The sequence below is a fragment of the Homo sapiens genome, chromosome 11 (assembly GCF_000001405.40).
Source record: "Homo sapiens chromosome 11, GRCh38.p14 Primary Assembly".
NCBI classification, from domain to species: Eukaryota; Metazoa; Chordata; class Mammalia; order Primates; family Hominidae; genus Homo; species Homo sapiens.
This window is the reverse complement of record NC_000011.10, coordinates 14,542,468-14,566,852: the sequence shown is the minus strand read 5'-3', so window position 1 is coordinate 14,566,852 and position 24,385 is coordinate 14,542,468. Positions and strand designations below refer to the sequence as shown.

At 38.6% G+C, this 24,385-nt stretch overlaps 1 protein-coding gene across 1 annotated transcript in view; it reads left to right on the top strand.

Moving 5' to 3' along the window:
- PSMA1 (proteasome 20S subunit alpha 1) overlaps positions 1-24,385 on the top strand; it is a 138,787-nt gene that overhangs the window by 76,810 nt on the left and 37,592 nt on the right. The gene's annotated exons all lie outside the window — the stretch shown is intronic.

Genomic DNA, 24,385 nt, shown 5'->3' with positions numbered 1-24,385 from the left:
TTGTCTTGGTTATCTTCTATCATTTATGTTGTTATTCTTTGTATCTTTTCACTGCCTTGTGGCTTCTGTTTGCTCAGCGCTCCTGTTTATTCATGGTTTCTGCTTACTCATGAAGTCTGATACTGGCTTCACTCTGCACCTTTGAGCTTTCATTCACTGAAGAATTTTTCCCTGTGTCTCTCCAGTTCTGATTATTGAAATAAAATATCTTATTGACATAGTTAATTGCCATGTGTTTGGGCAGAATTTTCCTGCCAGGACACCCAACAGGCCAATGTCCAGCCTATTGATCAGCTGCCCCTAGGTAAGGGCCTATCATAGCCTAACAAGCAGTAAGCAGAGTTGTAGGGGTTGGAGGTGTGCATATGGTATCACATGTGGCCACTTATGTTGAAGGATTTACATCAAGCTAGTTATCCAGACCCTTCTCTTTTTCTAATACCTCATGTCCAACTGTGAAGAAATCCTATTAGCTCTACCCTCAGAATATATTTAGAATATAATCACTTCTCATTGCTCCCACTGCTACCCCTCTGCTCCAAGCCACTCTGCCTTTCACTTGCATTACTCCAGTAGCTTAAGAAGTCACCTGCTTCTACCCATAGTCTATTCCCAATATAGCAGCTAGAGTGATTATTTTAAAGCCTTAGTCATATCATGTCATTCCTTTGTTTCACATATACTCCTGGCTCCCCATTTCACTCAAAGTAAAAGCCAAAGCCCTAGCCCCATTACCTCCAACTCCATCTTTACCACTTTCCCTTGCTCACTTCACTCCGGCCACACTGGCCTTGCTTTTTGTCAGATATCCAGGTATGCTCCCACCATGGGGCCTTTGTTCCAGCTGCCCTATCTGTCTGAAAAAAATCTTCTTTCAGATAATGGCTTGAGTAACTCCCCTAATTCCTTTAGATCCTTATTCAAATTTCAACTTCTCCAGAAGGCTTGCCTGACTAATTTATTTTATTCTACAACTGTGGTGGATAAATGCCGTACAGTAAATACTGTGGAAATAAACACTATAGTTCCCCACAGATCCATGCCTTCTTGCCGCTGCTTTACCTTTTGTTCTTGCACTTACCATTTTCTAACATATTATATACATTTTGCTTACTACTTATTGCTTATCTCTCCCTGCTAGAATATAAGCTCCACAAAGATAGAGATCTTTGTCTGCTTTGCTCCATGATATACCAAGGATTTAGAACAGTGCCTGGCCCAAGTGCTCCATAAATATTTGTTGAATTGAATTCCTTGGTAGGTAGCTATAAACATAGCAGATACACTAAGGCTTTCTCTATGCAATATAAAATGTCTCTCAGAGAAATTCATGGCACTAAAAGCATATATAAGAAAAGAAGAAAATTATCGGATCAATAATCTAAGCTCACATTCAAGAACCTAGAAAAAGCGAATAAAATAAACACAAAGCAAATGAAGGAAATATAACAAAGGGCAGAAATCAATGAAAGTGAAAAACAAAGAATAGAGAAAATTAACAAAACTAAGAGCTGGTTCTTTGAAAAGATCGGTAAAACTGATAAACCTCTAGCAGGACTGAGAAAGAAAAAAGATAAAAGACACAACTTTCTAATATCAGGAATGAAATAGGAGATACCATTACAGACCCTGCAGACATCTAAAGGATAATAAAGGCATACTAAAAACAACTCTATACACATAAATTTGACAACTTAGTTTAAATAGAGCAATTCCTTGAAAAATGCAACCACAAGTCACCCAATATGAAATAGATCATTTGAAGAGCCCTATAGGCTGGGTGCTGTGGCTCATGCCTGTAATCTCAGCACTTTGGGAGGCTGAGGCAGGAGGATTACTTGAGCCCAGGAGTTCACGGCCAGCCTGGACAAAAAGTAAGACCCCATCTCTACAAAAAAATTTTTTTAATTAGCCAAGCGTGGTGATGTGTACCTGTAGTCCCAGCTACTTGGTAGGCTGAGGTGGGAGGAAGGCCTGAGCCTAGGAGGTTGAACTGCAGTGAGCTGTGATTGCACCACCACATTCCAGCCTGGGCAACAGAGTGGGACCCTTCTCAAAAAAAAAAAAAGAAAGAAAGAAAGAAAAGAAAAGTACTATAACTATTAAAGAAATTCACTTACTTGTAAGAACGGCTGAAATAAAAAATAGCCCCCAAATGCTGCTAAGGATGAAGAAAAGACAAATCACTCATACATTGCTGGTGGAAAGTAAAATGGGACAGCCACTCTGACAGTTTGGCAATTTCTTTAAAAGCTAAACATGTGACTACCATACAACCCAGCAATTGCACCCCTGGGCATTTATCTCAGACAAATGAAGACTTACATTCACACAAAAATCTGTACATGAATATTTATAGCAGCTTTATTTGTAATACCAAAAACTGGAAGCAATCCAGATATACTTCAATGAGTGAATAGTTTAAAAATTGAGTACATCTATATTGTGGAATATTACTCAACAATAAAAAAGAACACATTATCAATGCATGCAAAACCTGGATGAATCGCCAGAGAATTATGCTGAATGAAAAAAAAGGCCAAAAATTTACACATTGTGTGATTCCATTTTTGAAACGTTCTTCAGATGACAAAATTATAGAAACAAAGAACATATGTGGCTACCAGGGTAACAGAGTAGGTGGGGTGGGGGGGTAGGAGGATGGTGGGTATGATTATAAAAGGGCAGCATGGGATATCCTATGATGTTAGAAATGTTCTGTATCAATATCAGTATGCTGGTTGTGGTTCTGTATTATAAGTTTGTAAGATGTTTACCATTAGGGGTAATTGGGTAAAGGATATAAGGTATCTTTTTGTATTACTTCTTACAACTATGTATAAATTTAAAATTATCTAAAAATTAAAAGTTTAATTAAAAATCTTTCTCCCAACAGACTTTATTTAATTATGGTTGTTTCATGGGAGAAGAGAAACACTTTATTAAATTTAATCATTGATTATAAAATTGCACCTAAATTTCAAAAATGTGAAAAATGAGAAAGTACAACTTAGAAACTAGGAAATATATTAAGTATGCATATTTATTTGTATAATTATTTGCATCAGAAATAGGGAACCATTTAGGAGAGGAAAAGACAACAAAGTCTTCCTAACAGTGATTATCTCTAAATGGTAGAATTATGGGCATTTTTTTTTAGCTTATCTGCATTTTCTTATTTTCTACAGTAAACACATATTACTGACATAATTTTAAAGAAACATGATATTTTAAAGATGTTATTTAGACCAACCCTTAATCCATTGCTTGAAAACCTGCAATGAATCCTCAAATAATTAGTCACTTCAGTCTTTAATACCATAGAAACCAATAGCTCCCAAAGCAGCCCAGGCAGCTCTAATTATTTGAAATGAGAGCTGTTGAAAGCAAAGGTCTGCACTGCCTGTGCCATTAGGGGGTTTAAGGATATGGGTTTGATCCCAGCACAGGTCAATTAACTCTGCTTATTCGTAGAGGAAAATGGTAAAGGTACACTGCCTGCATGGCTCACAAGGGACAGTCACTACTCAAACACTGTCCACAAGAGACACAAACACGTGAAAGTAAACAGGCATCTCAAATCCATTTCTGCTAAGCACCTCTTCTCATACTGGACAATTTCTCATTTCCTCAAGTGGTCAGCAGGAAACAAACAGATTGTAAAATAGTTGTTACAATCAATAGCCAGGAATAAAAGCGTAAAAAGCAATCCCATCTCCAAATGAAATTCTAAATCCCCATTAAATACTTTAATGTCAACCTAACAAGAACTAAAAAGAAAACTCTAAAACCATAATGACACAATAAAGGTAATCAGACTGGATGCATAGCCATCTTTGCTTGTAACTGGAAAGATTACATAAATGACATAATAACACTTTCCATATTAATTCATAGATTTAATGCAATGATAATTAATGGGGCATTAAGAGTTTTATAAACCAGAACTTGACATAATAATTGTAAAATGCTCATGAATACAGCCAGGCCCGGTGGCTCACACCTGTAATCCCAGCACTTTGGGAGGCCAGTATGTGGGCAGATACTTGAGTCCAGGAGTTTGAGACCAGTCTCTAAAACTACAAAAATTAGCCGGGCTACTCGGGAGGCTGGGATGGGAGGATCGCTTGAGCCCAGGAGGCAGAGGCTTCAGTGAGCCCTGATCATGCCCCTGCACTCCAGCCTGGGTGGCAGAGTGAGACCCTGTCTCAAAAAAAAAAAAAATGCTCATGAATAGAAGCATATTTATTCACGAAGGAAAAAAGATAATGTTGTAGAACTCTTTCATGGATTTAAAAATATTGTACTGTTATAAAGCAGCAATAATCAAAACTCTTTGGCAGTTCCATTGAAATTGAAGGAGCTGTTCTGAGCCAGTATGGTAAAGGAAAATGTTAGGAAAGATGTCTGGGCTAAAGACCATTGAGGTCTGGGCTAAAGACCATTGAGGCACCATTGGGTGCCTTGGAAAGGTTTTTTGGTTTGCAAGACACAGAGACCTCCTTCAAAGTAGCTCATGTACAAGGGGGAAAAAAAGCTATAACAAGCTTTCTCAATTCATCTAATGACAGTAACAGAGAACAGCTGGACCTCACTGCTCTGAAACTATGAACCATGGCAACTCTCTTCATATCTCAAGAATTCTTCATGGTCCTGCTCCCTGAGATCTAAGCACTAGCTGGGGGACACCTCATCCCACCTCCCACAGTCTCAGGCCCTGAAGCAGTGGTAGCTCTGGAGGATGTTCATAGCATTGGCTCACTTTTGTTCTCCCAGTCTTAAAGGTAGAAGCGGCTTCCTGAAATATGAATCTTTGGTTTTCCTAGCTTCCTCTTTTTGCTTTTCCAGCTTTCCAACACCTGTGTAAGAAATTCCATGAATTAAATCCCTTCTGTTTAAGGTATCTAGAGTGATTTCTAATTTCCTGATTAGACCCTGATTGATACATTGTTAGCTTCAACACTGCCCTTTATTTCGTTTAGTTTATAGTTTAGTTTAGTTTAGTTTAGTTTAGTTTAGTTTAGTTTAGTTTAGTTTAGTTTAATTTAGTTTAGTTTAGTTTAGGACTAGAGTGCACAAATCATAAGCTGTTGTCCTTTTGTGCAGGTATCCACCTCTGTGCCCCCAAAAACAGCGCAGGGCATGGCTACATTGAGCAGATAGTCTATCATCCCACACTTTCTGATGCAGCTGAGACTAGGACAGTCCAGGTGGAGTTGGGAATGGGTGGGTAGGTAACATGAGAGTGAGGAGGGTTGACAATTGAGGAAGGACTACAAAGAGATTTGAGAAGAATTATACAAACACACAAAGGAGAAAATCTGTTACCAGAAATCCAGAAAGAAATCAGTGACACTAGTCACTGTGGTAACCAGCTGACTGCAAAAGCCAAAGGCAGATGCAGTTGTAGTTACAGGAAATAGATTCCAGGAACAGGACCAATACAGACTGGGATAGGAGAGTTAGGCATTTCAGGCACATTAGCAGGCAACTATGTGGAGATGTATAGATAGTGGACTGGACAGTCTCAGGTAATGTTATAAAGCAGCAATGATCAAAGCTCAGTTCAACGGATATTGAAGGAGCTGTTTTGAGTCAGCATGGTGAAGGAAAATGCCACATAAAGAGAGCAAATGCAATCTATCTGAGTTTTCCCATAATGTGACATATTCCCAACCTTCCTCTTCTTTTTATTTTCTAAATAATTGTGATTTATTTAGCAGTTAATATTTTTATGTTCATTTTATTTAGTTTCTCCTTTTCTAAGCAACGAAGTGATATGTGTTCATTGTGATACATATTAAAATATTCATATACATGAAAAGAAAAATATTATGTTCATCTGTAATCCAATCATCCAAGGTTAACTGCTGTTAAAATTTTCCTTTCATATATTTTATGCTTGCATATCGTATGTATGTACCTATGATTATATGCCTATATTTTAAAACCAAAATTATTCCACTGTTCCTGTTTCATACCATACAGCTTCTGTGTACAGAAGCTGTCAGCTTGACAGAGTAATGAAATCGCCTTCTGCAGGTGCAACTGAGGTGCTACTTTATAGGTGATACCCTGCAAAGATAGAGTGATATCTTCCAGGATGCAGCATACACTCTAAATCTACCATCATTATATGGGCATGTGTTCTCAATAGGTACAACACATAAGTCTGGGAACCAAAAGTAAGAAGTAGGAGTGGCCCTGGGCCCTGCTTACCATCGCTCACAGTGATCCACTTGTGTTATTTGTGCTTCTTATCCCTGCAACCCTGGGATTTGTGGGTTTGGAGGTCCTGGTGATTGACTGGTACATCTCTTGGTATCACTTTGCCCAATTTTGATGGTAAATGGAGGCAGGAGCAGCAGCCATGGCCCAAGAAGGACATAGTAACCAGAAACCCACCAGGTAAACCACCTGGATGGCAGAGCTGAGGGTGAGTGAAGCTAAAATGGGTTGTAGAACAGGAACACAATGAGTATCAGTGGCAACTTTCAGACCAGAGGTCAGTAACAAGGTTCTAGTTTACCCCACTAACTTTCTGCTTGTAAGTTTACCCAGAAAAAAGAGTCTAACCAGGATACTGGAGGAACTGTTCCTGGAACTTGTGCAAAATTAGTAGATCCAACACAAAGCATTGGCTGTAATGAATGCTGTGGTTTGCCACTCAGATCCCCTGGTTGGATTAAGGCAGTCATTCCCACAACTACTAGGAATATTGGCCACTGATAGCTCTCATATAATTTATCTCCTGATAATTGTTTTCAGCTAAAGAGAGTCACCTTGCCCAAGTTCATAGGTAGCCCATATCTAATAACTAGTCCATGCCCAGGTATTAAGGCCCAGCCTTCTTTGCTTCAAAGCAGGACAACTCCAGAGCTCCCTGTAGGATTGGCCAAGAGACCTTTGTTGTGACCCTACTGCAGTTTAACTTCTTCTAGCCAATCCTACTTCCTTCACTCTTTCCCTGATATTGAATCCCTAGGCACTCTCCAATAAACTCCCTGCCTGCAAATATCCATCTCAGAGTCTATTTCTAGGGAACTCAGGATACAACAGTTATATTCATTTTTTGTGTTTATATTTTAACAGAAGACACTAACACTTAAAGCTCTAAGCATTTGACTGTATAAAGATATTAAGAATCCCTGGGTCATCTTTGTCTGTAAAGTTCATTTACCTCACCAGCAGCATGGACACCTTGTTTCCTTGCAACCCAGCCCTCCTTGCATGTGCTAAATACCAAAAGCAGCCAGCCTTTCAGTTCTGCTTCCGTCTAGTGGTCATTTTCTATCCCCTTCTGCTCTCTGGTTGTGTTAAGTCCTGAGCTTTTCCATCCCATCCTTCCAGAAAGCCACTAGTCCCACTAGCTGTCACTTATCTGCCCGCACCCATTGTGAACTAAGTTCCGGATGCTGAGGGTTGTGGGAATCTCTCCAGTGTTGCCAGGAGGAAGGGAACTAAAATTCCTCTGGCTAGCAGTCACCATCTTGTTTCTCTATTTCTTTCCTTTGCCCTTTTCTCTCATGATTAGAAAGTTCCTTCCTTAACCCACTACATCTTCAACTTCTGCTTCCCATTGGGATTTCAACACCTTTTCACAGCAAATCCTTGTATTCGTGATTTACACCTTCCAATTTCTGAATTATAAAGCTGTAAATGGAAAGTAAGTTCTTTGCTTCCTTTCTTTTTTGTTTCCTTCTCTCCTTCCTTCAGCAAATTTCTTGCTCACTAACTCTGAGTCATCTCTTAAGTAAAGGTAGGCTATACCTATGCTTATTTAAGGTTATTAAATGTGATATTAAGGACACAACTATTCCCTCTCAAAACTTCCCCAGGGGCCAAGGTTGGCAGCAAATTGGTGGTCTGGCTGAGTCTTGCAGCACATCCCACTTGACCAACAACCCAGAGCTCATGCCCTTGGATGGAGAGTTTATTAACAGCATTCTCTTTGTGTAGGAACGCCTCCAAGTTTTGTAAAGGCCCACTATATTTCGTGTAGTAATGTGGAATGTTCCTAACCAGTAGATTTCTATCAACCAGCCAGTCTTCAAAGACCAACTGGACAGGGAGGATGGAAACCACAACCTAGCCCCCTCCCAGTGGCTCCTTTAAGACACCAGGCCCTCCTGTGCACTTCTAAATCAAAAACCACATAAAATTGGATCTTCTCTGTCCTCACATTGTTGTTGACCTTAGTCCTAAAGCCTGGACACACATCTCAACTTTTCCCCAACCTCCAGGTTTCTGATCTTGCAATTCGTTCTCCCATTTATAGCCTTGCTTCTCCCTCAGGGAATAGCTTGGGTCAGTAGAGGGAACTACAGCTCCTCTTTAGCACATTATCTCAAAGCAGAGTCTTTTCAAACAGGGAAATGTAGAGAGAAGGTAGACAAAGATTGTGACTTTTATTTATTATTGTTTTTTAATTTTTTTAGAGACAGGAGCTTACTCTGTTGCCCAGACTGGATTGCAGTGGCACAATCATAGCTCACTGCAGCCTTGATCTCCTAGGCTCAAGTGATCCTGTCTCAGCCTTTCTAGCAGCTGGGACTACAGATGTGTGCCACCATGCACAGTATTTTTTTTTTTTTTTTTTTTTTGTGCAGATGGGCTCTCACTACCTTGCTCAGGCCAGTCTCGAGCTCCTGTCCTTAAGCAGTCCCCCCACCGTGGCCTCCCTGAGTGCTGGGATTACAGCCGTGAGCCACCATGCCAAGGTAGATTGTGACTTTTAATATGATTATCCTTCCACTTGCAGAAACTTTCTTGTTTTTGCTCATCGTTTGTATTTGACTATCGGCACCATTTCTCTGGCTTTGACTTCAAACTTTTGTTTTGCTCCTGAATCAGGATTCAGATTCACTCATACTGGGACAAATCAGAGAAAGCTGAAAGAAGGACGATAAATAGCACCATGGAACCCTGGACAATTCTGCAATTGGAGGCACCAGATGTCTCTGAAGATGGAATTGTGGGGTGTAGGTAGAAAGAAAAGATTATTTGAAAGCTTTATAATGACCGTTTAGATCCCCAGATCTTCTTCCCAACATACTATTGTCAAATGACTGCTCTTCTGTTACCCAGGAAAAAGCCTGAAGGTTTATTCTCATGAAAGGCTGGGTCAAACGCTCTGGGCAGTATATGCTAGACACAACTGAAAACAAGGGATTTAAATGGAAGTCTACAGACTGAATGATGAATTCCCTCACCCCTCTAGGAGTGAGGGGAAAACAGAGAACTAGAAATAGCTTTTAGAAATAAAAATGTGATAGCAGAAATTTTAAAATTGAGTAGAAAAATTAAAAGATGGCCAGGCACGTTGGCTCACGCCTGTAATCCCAGCACTTTGGGGGGCCGAGGTGGGCGGATCACGAAGTCAAGAGATCGAGACCATCCTGGCCAACATGGTGAAACCCCGTTTCTACTAAAAATACAAAAATTAGCTGGGTGTGGTGGTGCGCTTGTGCACCTGTAGTCCCAGCTACTCTGGAGGCTAAGGCAGGAGAATCACTTGAACCTGGGAGGCGGAGGTTGCAGTGAGCCGAGATCACACTACTGCACTCCAGCCTGGTGACAGAGTGAGACTCCGTCTCAAAAAAAAGAAAAATTAAAAGATAAAGTTAAAAAAATCTCCCAGAAGAAAAAGGAAAGATAAGAAACCTAGAAAGTCAGTTCAGGTGATCCAACAACTGAATCAGGAGTTCTAGAAAGAATGAGCAGGGTGCAGTCGCTTATGCCTGGATTCCCAGAACTTTGGGAGGCCAAGGCAAGAGGATCACTTGAGGCCAGGAGTTTGAGACTGGTCTGGGCAACACAGTGATACCCCCATCTCTACAAAAAATAGAAATAAAAAAAGTAGCTGGGTATGCACCTGTAGTTCCCACTGCTTGGAAGGCTGATGTGGAAGGATTGCTTGAGCCCAGGAGTTGGAGGCGACAGTGAGCCATGATTGCTCCACTGTACCCTAGCCTGGGCAACAGAGCAAGTCCCCCAGTTCTATAGATTTAAAAGTAAAATGTCAAAAACATTCTATGGAGAAAAGATAGTCTTCCAACAAATAGTGCTAGAGCAACTGGATGTCTATAGGCAAAATAATGAACTTCAACCTAAACTTCACACCCTATAGAAAAACTAACTCAAAATGGATAACAGATTTAAAAGTAAAATGTCAAAAAAATTTTTTCTCAAGAGTAAGCAGAGAAAGTGGAGGGGAGGGAATTACTAAAATAAGATGCCTGAAGCTGATATGGCCTTTTAAAAAAGAATACACATGGTAGTTTCTCAAAGCTGAAGGAAATGTGTTTTCAGATTTAAAAGGCCTATTGTGTTGACGTTCATTCCTCATACAGAATGAAAAAGGACACTATTCTAAGGTGTATCATCATGAAACATTAAAAAAAGAAGATTCCAAAACTTTCCAGAGAGGAGGGGAAAAAACCCTTTCATGTCCCGTAGGAAATATTATTAATGTAAAACATATCAACAGCAACATGGAAAGTTAGAAGACAAAGAAGTAATGCCTTTAGAATTCTGAGAGAAAATTTTTCCAACCTAGAAGTCTATACTCAGACTTTCACTCAAGTGCAATGCTAAATTTAAAACATTTTCAGTCATGCTAGGTCTCAAAGAAATACACATTCCATAAACTTTTTCTCAGGAAGCTATTGCAGGATAAGCTCCACCAAACCCAGTGAGTAAACCAAAAGGAATATAGGAGATCTAAGGAAACAGGAGATCCAACAAAAGGGGGATGTGGAGGAATTCCCAAAATGATGAAAAGGGGGCATCTCAAACAGCTGGAGAGCTGCCCTGGACAGCAACAACCCAGACCAGAGCCGGACAAGGAAGGTCCCCAGGGTGACATCCAGAAGAGAAGTCAGTGAGAAAACAAAACTGATAGAAGGAGAGATTTATAATTCTGTTAGAGGGCTAGGGAGAAATTAGTGATTAATTCATGAACATTGATGTTTTAAAAAGACAATTATTAACTAAAGGGAAAACAAAATGATTGTATCAGATATGAAGTGAACATCAAGCAGTTCATCTGTGAACAATATTTTCTTAGGCCTAATAATTTAAACACTGAAATTGTGATGTAATGGGAGGATGGGGATAGGTGAAGGGTTTATGTTGGAGAGGGTGGTAGAAGAAAACTAGATCCTAACCACCATAGTAGGAAATCAAGAGATGATATCTAAAACTGAAAAGTCAAGAGAGAAAAAGTACAAGCACCAGAAGAAATGGCTAAAGATGTGACTACAGTTAGCTGTGTGGAGCAAAACACAGAGGTGGGGAAGAGTGAGCAAAATACTGTTTCTTTTTGTTGTTAAAAGCCTTGGATTTGACTTTTTATGCTATGTGCTTATATATTTTTTCTTTTATTTTTATTCCTCTAGATATGATGCCTGAAGAATTCTTGTATGTTTCTATTTTTTAAAAGACTAAAGCAAAAAAAATTTTAAAGAGGAAATAAGAGAGAAGGGAAAATTAGGGTAGAAAAAAATAAGATGAAGTCAGAAGTAATGCACATCATCCAGTACACATCATTGCTAAAGATAGGCTGAAAATTTGGTTCTGAGCTTTTTAGCAGCAAGCATAAAGTGGGAAATGTAATTGTTTACATGGTTTCACAATGTCCAAGAGATAAAAACAAACCACTTACTCAGGAGAAATATAGCTATTCCTGGTACTGCGATCTGAGAGACAGTTCTCCCATCTGTTCTCCTAAAGAGGACACATGTGACGTAGTGAACCACATCCTCCTTAACTTGCCAACAGTAAATGCAACAATAAGTTTCATAGAGCTGTTTCTTGTCATGTCTCTCAACATAGGTGAATGGCAAAATGCCAATGCAGTGCTCAGTAAAAGCAACTCTATGAAGAAATAAAAATCTGTTTAGAGAGGCAATAAAGCATAGTAGTAAGAGTGTTGGCCTGGGTTCCAAATCTATCTGTCAAACAAGTTACTTAACTACTTTGTACTCAGTCTTCTCATCGATAAAACTGGTCTAATAATACCATCTCATAGAATTTTGTGAGTTATGCATGTGAAGTACTTAGAACAATGCCTGGCATATATAAGCACTAAAAAAATCCGTTTAAAAAATCCACTTTTAAAAAAAGTGAATCTTACATGTTAAGGCTACTGTAAAGAAAACAGTGTGATATTGATGGAGAGATAGACACATAGATCAGTGAAATATAATAGAGAAATATATCACACAAGTATAGCCAACCGATTTTCAACAATGTTGCAAAAAAAAATTCAATGGAGAAAAGATAGTCTTCCAATAAATAGTGCTAGAGCAACTGGATGTCAATAGGCAAAATAATGAACTTCAACCTAAACTTCACACCCTATAGAAAAACTAACTCAAAATGGATAACAGATTTAAAAGTAAAATGTCACACTATAAAATGTTTTCACAAAAACAAAGGAGAAAACCTTCAGGACTTAGGGCAATGTGAAGAGTTCCTCAACATGATACCCAGAAATGATCCTTAAGAGAAAAATTGATAAATTAGACTTCATCAAACTTAAAACTTTTGCTCTGTAAAATATCACATTAAGAGAATGAAGACAGACACAGGCTGAAAGAAGGTGTCTGCAAACCAAAAACCACTGCAGAAAATATAGTAAACCAAACATCTGACAAAGGACCATAAAGAACACTCAAAAATCAACATCAAGGAAACAATCTAATTAGAAAATAGGTAAAAGACATGAAAATATATTTCTGCAAAGAGGATATACAAATGGCAAATAAGCAAATAAAATATGTTCAATGTCATTAGCCATTAGGAAGATGCAAATTAAAACCATGATGAGATATCATTATATACCTATTAGGATGGCTAAAATAATGACAATACTAAATGCCTGTGGAGAAAACTGACTCTCTCATATATCGCTGGTGGTAGTGTAAAATGGTATAGCCACTCTGCAAAATAGTTTGGCAATTTCTTAAAAATCTAAACTTATACTTACCACATGATCTAGCAATCACATTCCTAGGCATTTACCCAGAGTAATGAAAATTTATGTTCACACAAAAACCTATACAAGAATACCCATTGTAAGTTTATTTGTAGTAGCCTAAATTGGAAACAACCCAAATGTCCTTCAATGGGTGAATGGCTAAACAAACTGTGGTGCATCTATATCATGGAATACTACTCAGTAATAAAAAGAAACAATCTATTAGTACATGCAACAATTTGTATGAGTCTCAAGAAAATTATGCTGAGTGAAAAAAAAAAGCCAATCTCAAAGGTTGGATATTGTATGATTTCATTTATCTAACATTCCTAAAATGATAAAATTACAGAGATGAAGAACAGATTAGTGGCACTAGGGATGGGTTGGGGGCAGTACAGGTGTGACCATAGAGAGGTAGCATTTGGGATATTTGTAGTAATAAAACAGTTCTGTATCTTGACTTTTACTGTTGTTACATCAATTTACTACATGTGATGAAATTGCATAGAACTACACACACACACGAGTATAGGTAAAAACTGGTGAAATTTGAATAAATTCAATGGATTGTACCAATATAAATTTCCTGAATTTAATATTGTACTATAGTTATGTAAGATGTTACCATTGGGGGAAACAGGATAAAGGGTACACAGAACGTCCCTGTACTATGAATTTCCTATGAATCTATAATAATTTTAAAATAAAAAGTTTCCAAAAAAATGTATCTTATAAAAAATGTTATAGGCTGGGTGTAATGGCTCACACCTGTAATCCCAGCACTTTGGGAAGCCAAGGCAGGAAGATCGCTTGAGCCCAGGAATTCGAGATCAGCCTGGGCAACATTGGAAGAACTCATCTCTACAAAAAGTAAAAAGTTAGCTGGGTGTCGTGATGCATGCCTTAGTCCCAGCTAATAGGGAGGCTGAGGTGTAGGGATTGCTCGAGCCCAGGAAATTGTGGCTGCAGTGAGCTATGATAATAGCACTACTACACTCCAGCCTGGGTGATAAAGCCAGACCCTGTCTCAAAAAAAAAAAAAAAAAAAAAGTTATATAAGCTCTATAATAAAACTTCATTAATTAGGGATTAAAGTTTACCTTTATTTAACAAACTGTGTATTGTATAAAATTAGAATTAAACATTTGGGATGTTGGTAGAAATTATAGAAATTCATCAAGTTTTGCTCTTGCAAAACTTGGTGAAGGCAAAGGGGCCCAGGGGGACTCTAATGCAGATGCTCACTGCTTCAAGAAGGCAAGTAGCATATTTTCAAGAGTTGTTAAAGAATAGCACTTATTACCATAGAGTAATTGTCTTGCCCTTATCTTTTCAGGTTCAAAATTTTGATTTCCTAGCATGAATTCATATTAACTGAGCTCACAGGACTGATGTACTATGTGTGACAATCTCAGCCGCAATTTCAGATGTGCAAGAAAAAAACAAGTTTCTCTCTCTTCTTTAAATCAACTTATTTTGAACTCCACATCCCCATCATATGAGCTGGAGAGAAATTCAGCCTAAGTAATTCCTTGCCAAGGCACTGTTGGTCTGGTTACTGTCCAGACACCCACTGTTGTAGTCTGAAGGGCACTCTCAGGAGTAGAGACTGTGGCTTTTGTGATGCTTCGGACTCGGGAACTTTTCGTGCTGAGGATCCAGCCTCCATGGGCACTCCAATTGCTCTCTGAGGTCTTGCTATCTTTCTGTGCTCTGACATCTCACCCTCTCCAGCCTCAGGGAAACTCCTAGAGAAGCCTCTTTCCTCTCTAAGATCATTTCTGTCTCAACCCTCCAAGAAATCCAGCAACATCTAGTCAATCAGCTTAGCTTTTCCAGAGCTGAGGAAAACCACTAACTTGAAGCTGCTTCTAATTTTTGTCCTGCCAACATTCTTATTATAAGAAATTATAAAGCCTCACTACCTTGTGAAATGCAGAGAAGAGGAAAATATAGAGAGGATAAAATAAAATTAATATTTTAACAAATTACCCTACCAAACTACAAAAGCCACTTTATTAATTTGCAATAAATGTCACAGCAATGGGTTACATCCATATGGCTAGCCCACTGTCCCCTCTTTAAAGTAGACTTTCATGATCCTCCTTAGACTGTTGCTTGGTGAACATGAAGCAGAGCCAGAGGCTTTAGAATAGTTCAACATTTAAAGGGATCAGGTTATCAGAGTCTGATGTATTAATCCCACAATAGGGACATTCACATCATGGTAGGGGAGCTGGGAACACTGGAAGTTCATTGGCTATGATCTCCCAAATCCATGTTTACTTTGAAAATGTCCTTGTCTGTGGAGCTGCAATCGTCAGAGGCATTTGGCTGGCTGGGACTCTCTTCCCCCTGACAGCACTTGGATGAACACTGTCAACATTTGTCCTGGAGGCCGTCTTTTTTCTATGCCTCAACAGCTCACCACCCCTTCCATCAAATAACAGGCCAATTCTGCTGACCAAATATCCATGTCTCTTCAGGATGATTTTGCATAGATCTGTTCCAGTAAATTACGTAGGGACTCTAAATTTGAACTCTGAAAGCCATATAATTTCTTTGCTTTTGGGTTAGCCTTCCTGTACCCATCACATCCTGATAATGGCATATATAAAACAAATTATATTAGATCTTCAATCTAGGATTCAAAACACCAGAAGCATCCAAGCAAAGAAACTGTCTTAAGAAACTTAAAAATAATTATACATCAAAAATTACATCATTATAGTATTTGAAGACTAGTTAATTGCGGCATGTATGATAATAGTGAAATCTGCTAGATGCAAATGACACAACAGTAATGTCACTGAAGTCAGATTTTTAAGTGTTGAGTTCATGCACTGTGCTGTGTGCTATATTTAGATACCTAAACTTTAGATATATCAATAACCTAGTTAGGTCAAGCAAGTCCATGACATTTCCCCACTCTTTGCATAGAAATAATGGACGTTCTAATGAAAGTATGATACTCCAAATTTGCAAAAGGCTTAAATGCAATCTTGATGGTAATTCCTCACATATATATGTGTATATATACACACATGAAGAATTATCCTATTTTCTTCCTTACAGGAGAATAAGAAAATATAATTAATAATAATAAATTATAAGGTTATTTTCCCGTAAAAAAATTAAGAAGTTTCATCACTCACGTCAGCAAAAATAACACTCCAACTGATCCCCCACCCTCAAACTCTAATTAGTTATCTGGTATTCTCTAGAATCCTTTTGCTTGCCTTACCTCTCTTTTCAATGTTTTTTTTCTTCTCTAGTTTTCTTAAAATGACACCTTCACGGTACCCATCATTACTAATAAGGTCTTCCCAAACTTTGTCAATTGATTATGTCCAGTAAAGCCAAGAAAAAATACCAGGCAACTGGCTTTATGAGTGATTTTGTAATAACTTTATCTATCAAGATAAATAGATTTGCTGTAACATGTTAGGGCTTCTGAAGTAATTCCACTACAATTTTAGGATTCCAAAGGCAGTATATGATAAACTGAAGTTTTTTAAAGATCACTTCAACTGGGTTGGGGATAAAACTTAGCATAATATTTCTATCAAGCTGTGTTTTATTTTGATTTGATTTCCTTCAGTATTTTTGAAACGTATTAATGTTTATGAAATACATGAATATATTTACTTTGAGCTTTGCTTGCCTCTAACTCATGCACAAGGACGCTTTTTCACGTAAACTTGAAATAATAATAATAAGCTAGTTGTGTTCAGCTCTGTCCTTTGAGATGAAGAGATGCAGTCATAACCCCAGAGGGCAGTCATATGGTCTCCATTGCATCTCAGCATGATTACAAATAATGACTGTGCCCAGAATTTGTTCAGATGATTGTTTTACCCATGATATGTTTTGTTAAATACAGAATACCAGACATTAGGAGAAGATGAGGCTGAGAAGAGTTAACATCTTTCGTTTTGCTGAGATAACAAAGATCCCATCCAACATATTACCTACTGACCCCATCCTCTTGCCATTGGAGCAGCAGGGCAAAATCTGTTCACATTCTCATGGCCCCAGACAGAGTGCTGGCCTTGAGCACACTGTGTGACACTCATTTGACCAAGAGAATCCAGTAGGCACAGGGAGAGCTGCCTACTATTGCCACGTTGTATGAGGTGACAAGAATGTCTCTTTTTTTTTTTTTTTTTTGAGATGGAGTCTCACTCTGTCACTCAGGCTGGAGTGCAGTGGCACGATCTCGGCTCACTGCAAACTCTGCCTCCCAGGTTCGCACCATTCTCCTGCCTCAGCCTCCTAAGTAGCTGGGACTACAGGGGCCCGCCACCATGCCCGGCTAATTTTTTGTATTTTTAGTAGAGACAGGGTTTCAACGTGTTAGCCAGGATGGTCTCGATCTCCTGACCTTGTGATCCTCCTGCCTTGGCCTCCCAAAGTGCTGGGATTACAGGCATGAGCCACCACGCCCGGCCAAGAATGTCTCTTTAGGTTTGATTTCCATTTCAGGAAATCACAAAATCAGATTGCATATAATGGGGCTCACTCCAAGAGAGTAGAGTGAGATTTAGAAGCCTTTCAACCTACTTACAAAATGTGTACAGTTCCCATTTCACTGCAGATGAAACAATAACAAATATTGAGCAAAGGAGGTTAATCCATATCCAGAAGATTTTATTAAGTTAAACAAAAAAGTCATGCAGGTCCCAGGCAATAAGTTTTATTTAAAATTAACAGCAACCTATAAGCACATTTCATCAAAAACCATAAATAGATATTGTAATGTATCTTTTTCACTACTGACTCTATCATGAGTCTACCTGAAAAGAAAAAAAAAACAGTAATAGCAACCATCAGGGCTTTTTAAAAAAATCAGTATTTTTCATAAAACAACATAGCAGATTTCAGACTGATAGAGACCTGTCATAAGGTGTTGTCTACAGAGCAGTAGCAAGGCATTATTTTCTATACTGAAATTTAGTTTAACATTTATAACAAGTATCTTATAAGGAAATCTCTTTATTGGATCTTTTAATCAGTATAGACTGGGTGTGAGGGAAAGTAGGTCAAAATAAAATATTTATTACACAGTCAAGAAAAGACAATATATTTTTAATTTGTGGCTTAAGATGCGAATTAATTTATTTATGTTCTTGGTTACCTATGTTACATATGTCTATCCACATGATGTATGTGTCTGTGTGATATGTATATCCAGTGGGGTGCTGATAAATCAACTCTTAAAAAAATTAAATCCTGATCTATTGCCTTTGCTCATTTCCATACTGTAAATATTTCCACTATGGCCAGTTTCAAGCTGCCAATATGATGTCCCTGAATATGGAGTTGGGAAGAGATATGCACACTTGATACTTGTACACCAGTATCTATACATATAGACACTACTGTATCTATACATGTGTATATATACATACATATGTATGTAAAAGTATGTGTATACATGCACACACACACACACCTGTGTGTACAGGTGTGTATACACCACATACATATACCAAGAAGTCTGAAGTAGTGACAGAGACTGAAGCCAGTGTCTACCTTGAAATCCACCTCTACCACCTACCAGTCATATGAGCTTGGGCAAATCACTTAACATTTTTGTGAACATAATAATAGTACATAATAATAGAACATAATAATAGTACCACTTACTGCAATAGTCCTGTCCCAGTTAAAAAATAAATAAATAGAAAAAAAGTAGCACTTAGTAGGTATGTTATAAATATTAAATTAATATCTATAAAGTGCTAACAACAGTAACACATAAGAGCTATATAAACATCAGCTATTATTTTTGCTATCATTATTATTATCTGTATATACAACTCTGTGTGGTGTGTGTGTGTGTGTGTGTGTTGTATATAGTGATCTCTCAGGATCTTGCCCACCAGAAGCAGCTGATGCTCATCTCCATCTCCTCCTCTACTCTGGGACCTCTGCTCCATCTCCCTCCTCCTCCCATTTGCAGGTTCAAGTTAGCCAAGTAGGGATTAAGTTCTGTTCCAATCAGAATCACAGTAAATCTTTAGACCTGAGGCAGGAGCTGTTTTTAAGCAAGCATCGTGTCTGCTCTCTTGCCTGTTTTGCCTCCCTCCATCGATCCCTGGAGAGCTCCAGTTAAGGAGTATGGCCCTGGATGTTTGGCTACCTATCCTGGTCCCCCACAGAGCCTCTGAGCTCCTCTGGTTGTCTCTTGTCTATTGGTTTCTGACTGATGATCCCTGTTCAGAGTGTGTGTCCAAATCTCTGGACCTTGACCCCATGACCTTGCTTTGGCTTGGAATCCTGAATGATGATTTTGCTCTGGACCCTCCCCAGTTCCTATCCATTTTTTACTGCACTCCCAGTTCCCTTCATCTGTGATACTTTCCCTGAAATCTATAACTATAATGACCATTTAACCTGGATTTTCCAGAGAGAGTCAACTTTAAATATTTTGTCCTTTTGACTCTAATGTTTTGGCATGCAAAGTATACTGCCCAGAAAATTGTTAATGACGAAAAGAAATACAAAATTCCCTGAATTTTTAAATTCACAAAATACAGTCATTTAAAAAGATTTCTCTAACCTTCTAATTTCCAGTACTGAAGTGATGACCAATTCTAAACCAGTGCCCAGGCCCTACTACTCTAACAAGCTGCACCATATTACATGATAGAGGTGATTTGGAAAGAAGGCAAAGTTCAGAGGAGGACCCAGAAATCTCCTTGCCCCAGTTTTCAAATTAATGGCAGATTTCTGCCACACATCCACACATTCCATTCTTATTTTTAAATATTATTTTACTGTATTTGTGTATGCATATTGTAATCATCTGATATTTGTTGTCATTTCATTATGATGGAAACTAACAACTTGAGCCACTGTTTTCCTTCATTCCATCTCTTAGTCACCATGTGTATATTAGCACCTGTCTATTTAAAGCTTTATCATAAGGCATGTTCTGGTAAGCACCCCTCTAAATTGAAGAGTGACTAAATTTTTGCAAAATCCAAAATGAGTGGTTTGAGCTAGGTTACTCCCACTCTATATCCAACTGACTCAATCTCTGCTGGCAGCTTTTCTGCTTCTCCAGGCATTCAAAAGCAAATTCTAGAAAGTAGTCCCTCTGAAAAAACTTTAAAATCCCCATTTCCTGGGCTGGATGTGGTGGCTGACACCTCTAATTCCAGCTCTTTGGGAGGTCAAGGTGGGCAGATTGTGAGGTCAGGAGTTCGAGACCAGCCTGGCCAACATGGTGAAACCCTGTCTCTACTAAAAATACGAAAATTAGCCGGGCATGGTGACACACGCCTGTAATCCTAGCTACTTGGGAGGCTGAGGCAGGAGAATTGCTTGAACCCGAGAGGCAGAGGTTGCAGTGAGCCGAGATCGTGCCATTGTACTCCAGCCTGGGCAACAGAGCGAGACTCTGTCTGGGGGGAAAAAAAGCCACATTTCCATGAGAGCTCTAAACAACAATTATTTCTCTAAAGTAATGTCTTCTGCTGAAAGGGAAAAGCATTCTAACATCATTTGCTGTATATGGTTGTATGGGTGCTGGTGTTGTTGGGGGGCAGGGTGGAGAAAAAAGGGGAGGGTCACAATCAAAATCCTCTTTTCTTTGGAAACTCCTACATAAGCAACCCTCTTGCCCCTCTCTTTTTAGAACTGACTCAGTCTAGCGGTTTAAATAAAAACTCTATCTCTTCCACCTAATCCCCTTTACTAAAAAAAAAAAAAAGAGAGAGAGAGAGAGAGAAAGGTAGAATTAGGTAACAAGAGACTTAGAGACAGGAGGCCTGAATTTTAAACCAGCTCATTCACTAACTCTCTTTACAAAGGTTTTTAACTTGAGCTTGATGGACCCCCCCAAAGGAGTCTAGAGACAGAATTCAGGGTGTGCATGAACTTGGAAGGAAAGTAAAATTACATTATTTTCACTGACCTCTAATTTAAATTTAGCATTTCCTTCAGGATCTCCCCCAATCTCTGCCCTATCTTTCACCTCTTCCTATGTGTAGGCTTAGATTGGCACATGGTTCTTCAATTATTAATGTAGACAAGAAATCATAAAGTATTAGCAGTCCTTATGACTTTCACCAGTGGAAATCACAGACTTTTTTTTATTGCTTTCACATTTGTTGCAGATATCTAAAACATCACATATACTAATTACACTTCAAAATTATGGTAGTTAATAGATCTACTGCTATACCTTATAATTTAATGTGTTAATTAAAAAAGGAACAACATCATGTCCTTTGCAGGGACATAGATGGAGCTGGAAGCCATTATCCTCAGCAAACTAACACAGGAAAAGAAAACCAAACACCGCATGTTCTCACTTCTAAGTGGGAACTGAACAATGAGAACACATGGACACAGGAAGGGGAACAACACATGCTGGGGCCTGTACGAGGGGAAAGGAAGGGAGAGCATCAGGATAAATAGCTAATGCAAGCAAGGCTTAGTACCTAGGTGATGGGTTGATAGGTGCAGCCAACCACCATGGCACACATTTACCTATGTAACAAACTTGCACGTCCTGCACGTGTATCCTGGTACTTAAATTAAATTAAATTTTAAAAATAAAATAATTAAACAATCACATGTATCACTATATCCCAAATTTGTTTTTAATATTTTGATAACTGCATTTCAATAGAATTGGTTTGCTTTGGATTCTTATGTGTTTTATTTTTTAAAACATCTTTATTGAGATACAAGTCATAAAATTCTCCACTTAAAGTATACAATCCACTGGCTCTAATCACAGAATTATGCAATCTTCACTATAATCTAAGTTTACAGCATTTTTTATCACCACAGAAAGAAACCCATTAGCTGTTACTCTCTACTCCACTCCATCTTCTGGACTTCAGGACTTCAGTTCTTTTTAATGCCAAATAATATTCCATTGTTTGGATTTACCATATTTTGTTTATCAATGTTGATGCACGTTTAGGTTGTTTCCCCTTCTTAGCTATTATGAATAATGCTGCTATGAACATTCATGTACAAGTTTTTGGGTGGATATATGTTTTCAATTCTCTTGGGTTATTACCTAGAAATAGAATTGCTGAGTCATATGGTAACTCTACATTCAAACTTTTGAAGAACTGCGTGACTGTTTTCCTAAGTGATTACACCATTTTATGTTACTACTGGCAGTGGTTTGAGGGTTTCAATTTCTCAATATCCTCTCCAACCCCTGTGATTACGTATCTTTTTTATTGTAGCCATCTTAGTAAGTATAAAGTGGTATTTCATTGTAGTTTTGGTTTATATTTCCCTAATGATTAATGATGTTGAACATCTTCTATGGGCTTATTGGCCATTTGTATATCTCCTTTTAGAGAAATATCTATTTAATAAATAAAACCTTAGCCCATTCTTTAATTGGGTTGTCTTTTTATTATTGAACTGTGAGAGTTCTTAATATATTCTGGATATAATTCCTTAACAGATGTATGATTTGCAATTTTTTTTTCCATTCTGTGGGCTGCCTTTCCACTTTCCTGATGATATTATTTGCAACACAAAAGTTATTAATTTACCGGCCGGGCACGGTAGCTCACGCCTGTAATCCCAGCACTTTGAGAGGCCAAGGCGGGCGGGTTGCTTGAGCTCAGGGGTTTGTGACCAGCCTGGGCAGCAAACATGGCAAAACCTTGTCTCCGCAAAAAATACGAAAATTAGCCGGGCTTGGTGTTGTGCGCCTGTGGTCCCAGCTACTCAGGAGACTGAGTTGGGAGGATCGCTTGAGCCCAGGAGGTCGAGGCAGTGATTGTGCCACTGCACTCCAGCTTGGATGACAGAGCAAGATCGTGTCTCAAAAAAGAAAAAGTTTTATTTTGAGGTAGTACAAGTTATTATATTTTCTTTTGTTGCTTGAGCTTTTGATGTCATATTTAAGAAGTTACTGCCTATGTGAGGGTTGTACAACTCTGTGAATATGCCGAAAACTTTTGGCATAAGAACACTTTAAATGAGTGAACTGTATAGTACAATAAGTCCTCAATGTTGTCAGTAGGTTCTTGGAAACTATGACTTTAAGCAAAAGGACATATAACAGAACCAATATTTTTTTCTCATCATTATAATAAAATGAAGTTGAACTAAACAGTCTTATTCAAGGACCTGATGTACATTGTTTCACTTAAAGTTGCAGTTTCCAAATACCTGGTAAGGACTTTAAGTGAGGACTTACTGTATGTAAATTAATTTCAATAAAGCTGTTTTTTATAAAAGCCAAAATGGCAGAAGGACAGAGAAAAATGCAGACCTTGGTGTTATTATATTATTTGACTTTCTCTGTACACAAGCCAATAAATCCTCCTTATTGTTTAAAAAAAAAAAAGAAACCAAATCAAGTTTTAAAATTAGATCATGGTGATAGTTGCACAATTCTGTAAATATACTAAAACCACCGAATCATGTATGCTTTACATGAATGAATTTTATGGTTATATGAGTTATATTTCAATAAAGCTATCTTTCAAAAGACAAAAGAAGCCACTGCCAAATCCACAGTCTTAAGATTTACTCCTGTTTTCTTAAGAAACTGTGTCTTGCTATGTAGTCCAGACTGGATTTGAACTCCTGGGCTCAAAGGATCTTCTCCCTTCAGCCTCCAGAGTAGCTGGAACTACAGGCACATACCACTGCACCTGGCTCCATTTTGAGTTAATTTTTGAAATTTGGTGCAAGGAAAGGTCCAGCCTCATGTACTTTATTTTATGCTCTTAAAAACCTTATTCTGGCAGGGCACAGTGGCTCACGCTTGTAATCCCAGCACTTTGGGAGGCCAAGGTGGGTGGATTGCCTAAACTCAGGAGTTCAAAACCAGCCTGGGTAACAGGGTGAAAATTAGCTGGGTGTGGTGGCGGGCACCTATAATCCCAGCTACTCGGGAGGCTGAAGCAGGAGAATCACTCGAACCTGGGAGGCGGAGGTTACAGTGAGCCGAGATCTTGCCGCGGCACTCCAGCCTGGGAGACAGAGCTAGACTCCGTCTCAAGAAAGAAAGAAAAAAATCATTCTGAGAAGGAATCCATTAGCTTCGCCAACCTGCAAAGATGGTTTCTGGCACAGAAAAAGTGAAGAACTCTTGCTCTAGAATTGGAACTATATATCCTTACTTCTCTGGAACTCAGGTTCCTGCCCTGTAAAATTTAATAGGTAGGATTGAATTGGGAAGTCCCTTCCAGCCCTGTGGTGCCATTTATTGTGCAGACATTGTAGGTGGAGGGCAATGACTCTTTAATAAAACACCTCAGGTTTATGACACCAGCTGCTTCTGTTATTTTTCTTCCAAAGGAAGCCATTGTCTGGCAATCATGGGAGGGCTCAGCCAGAGCTTTGTGAAATGTTTTAGGGGGTAGAGGTGACACAATAGGGGAAGGAAACATTTTCTATTGAAAA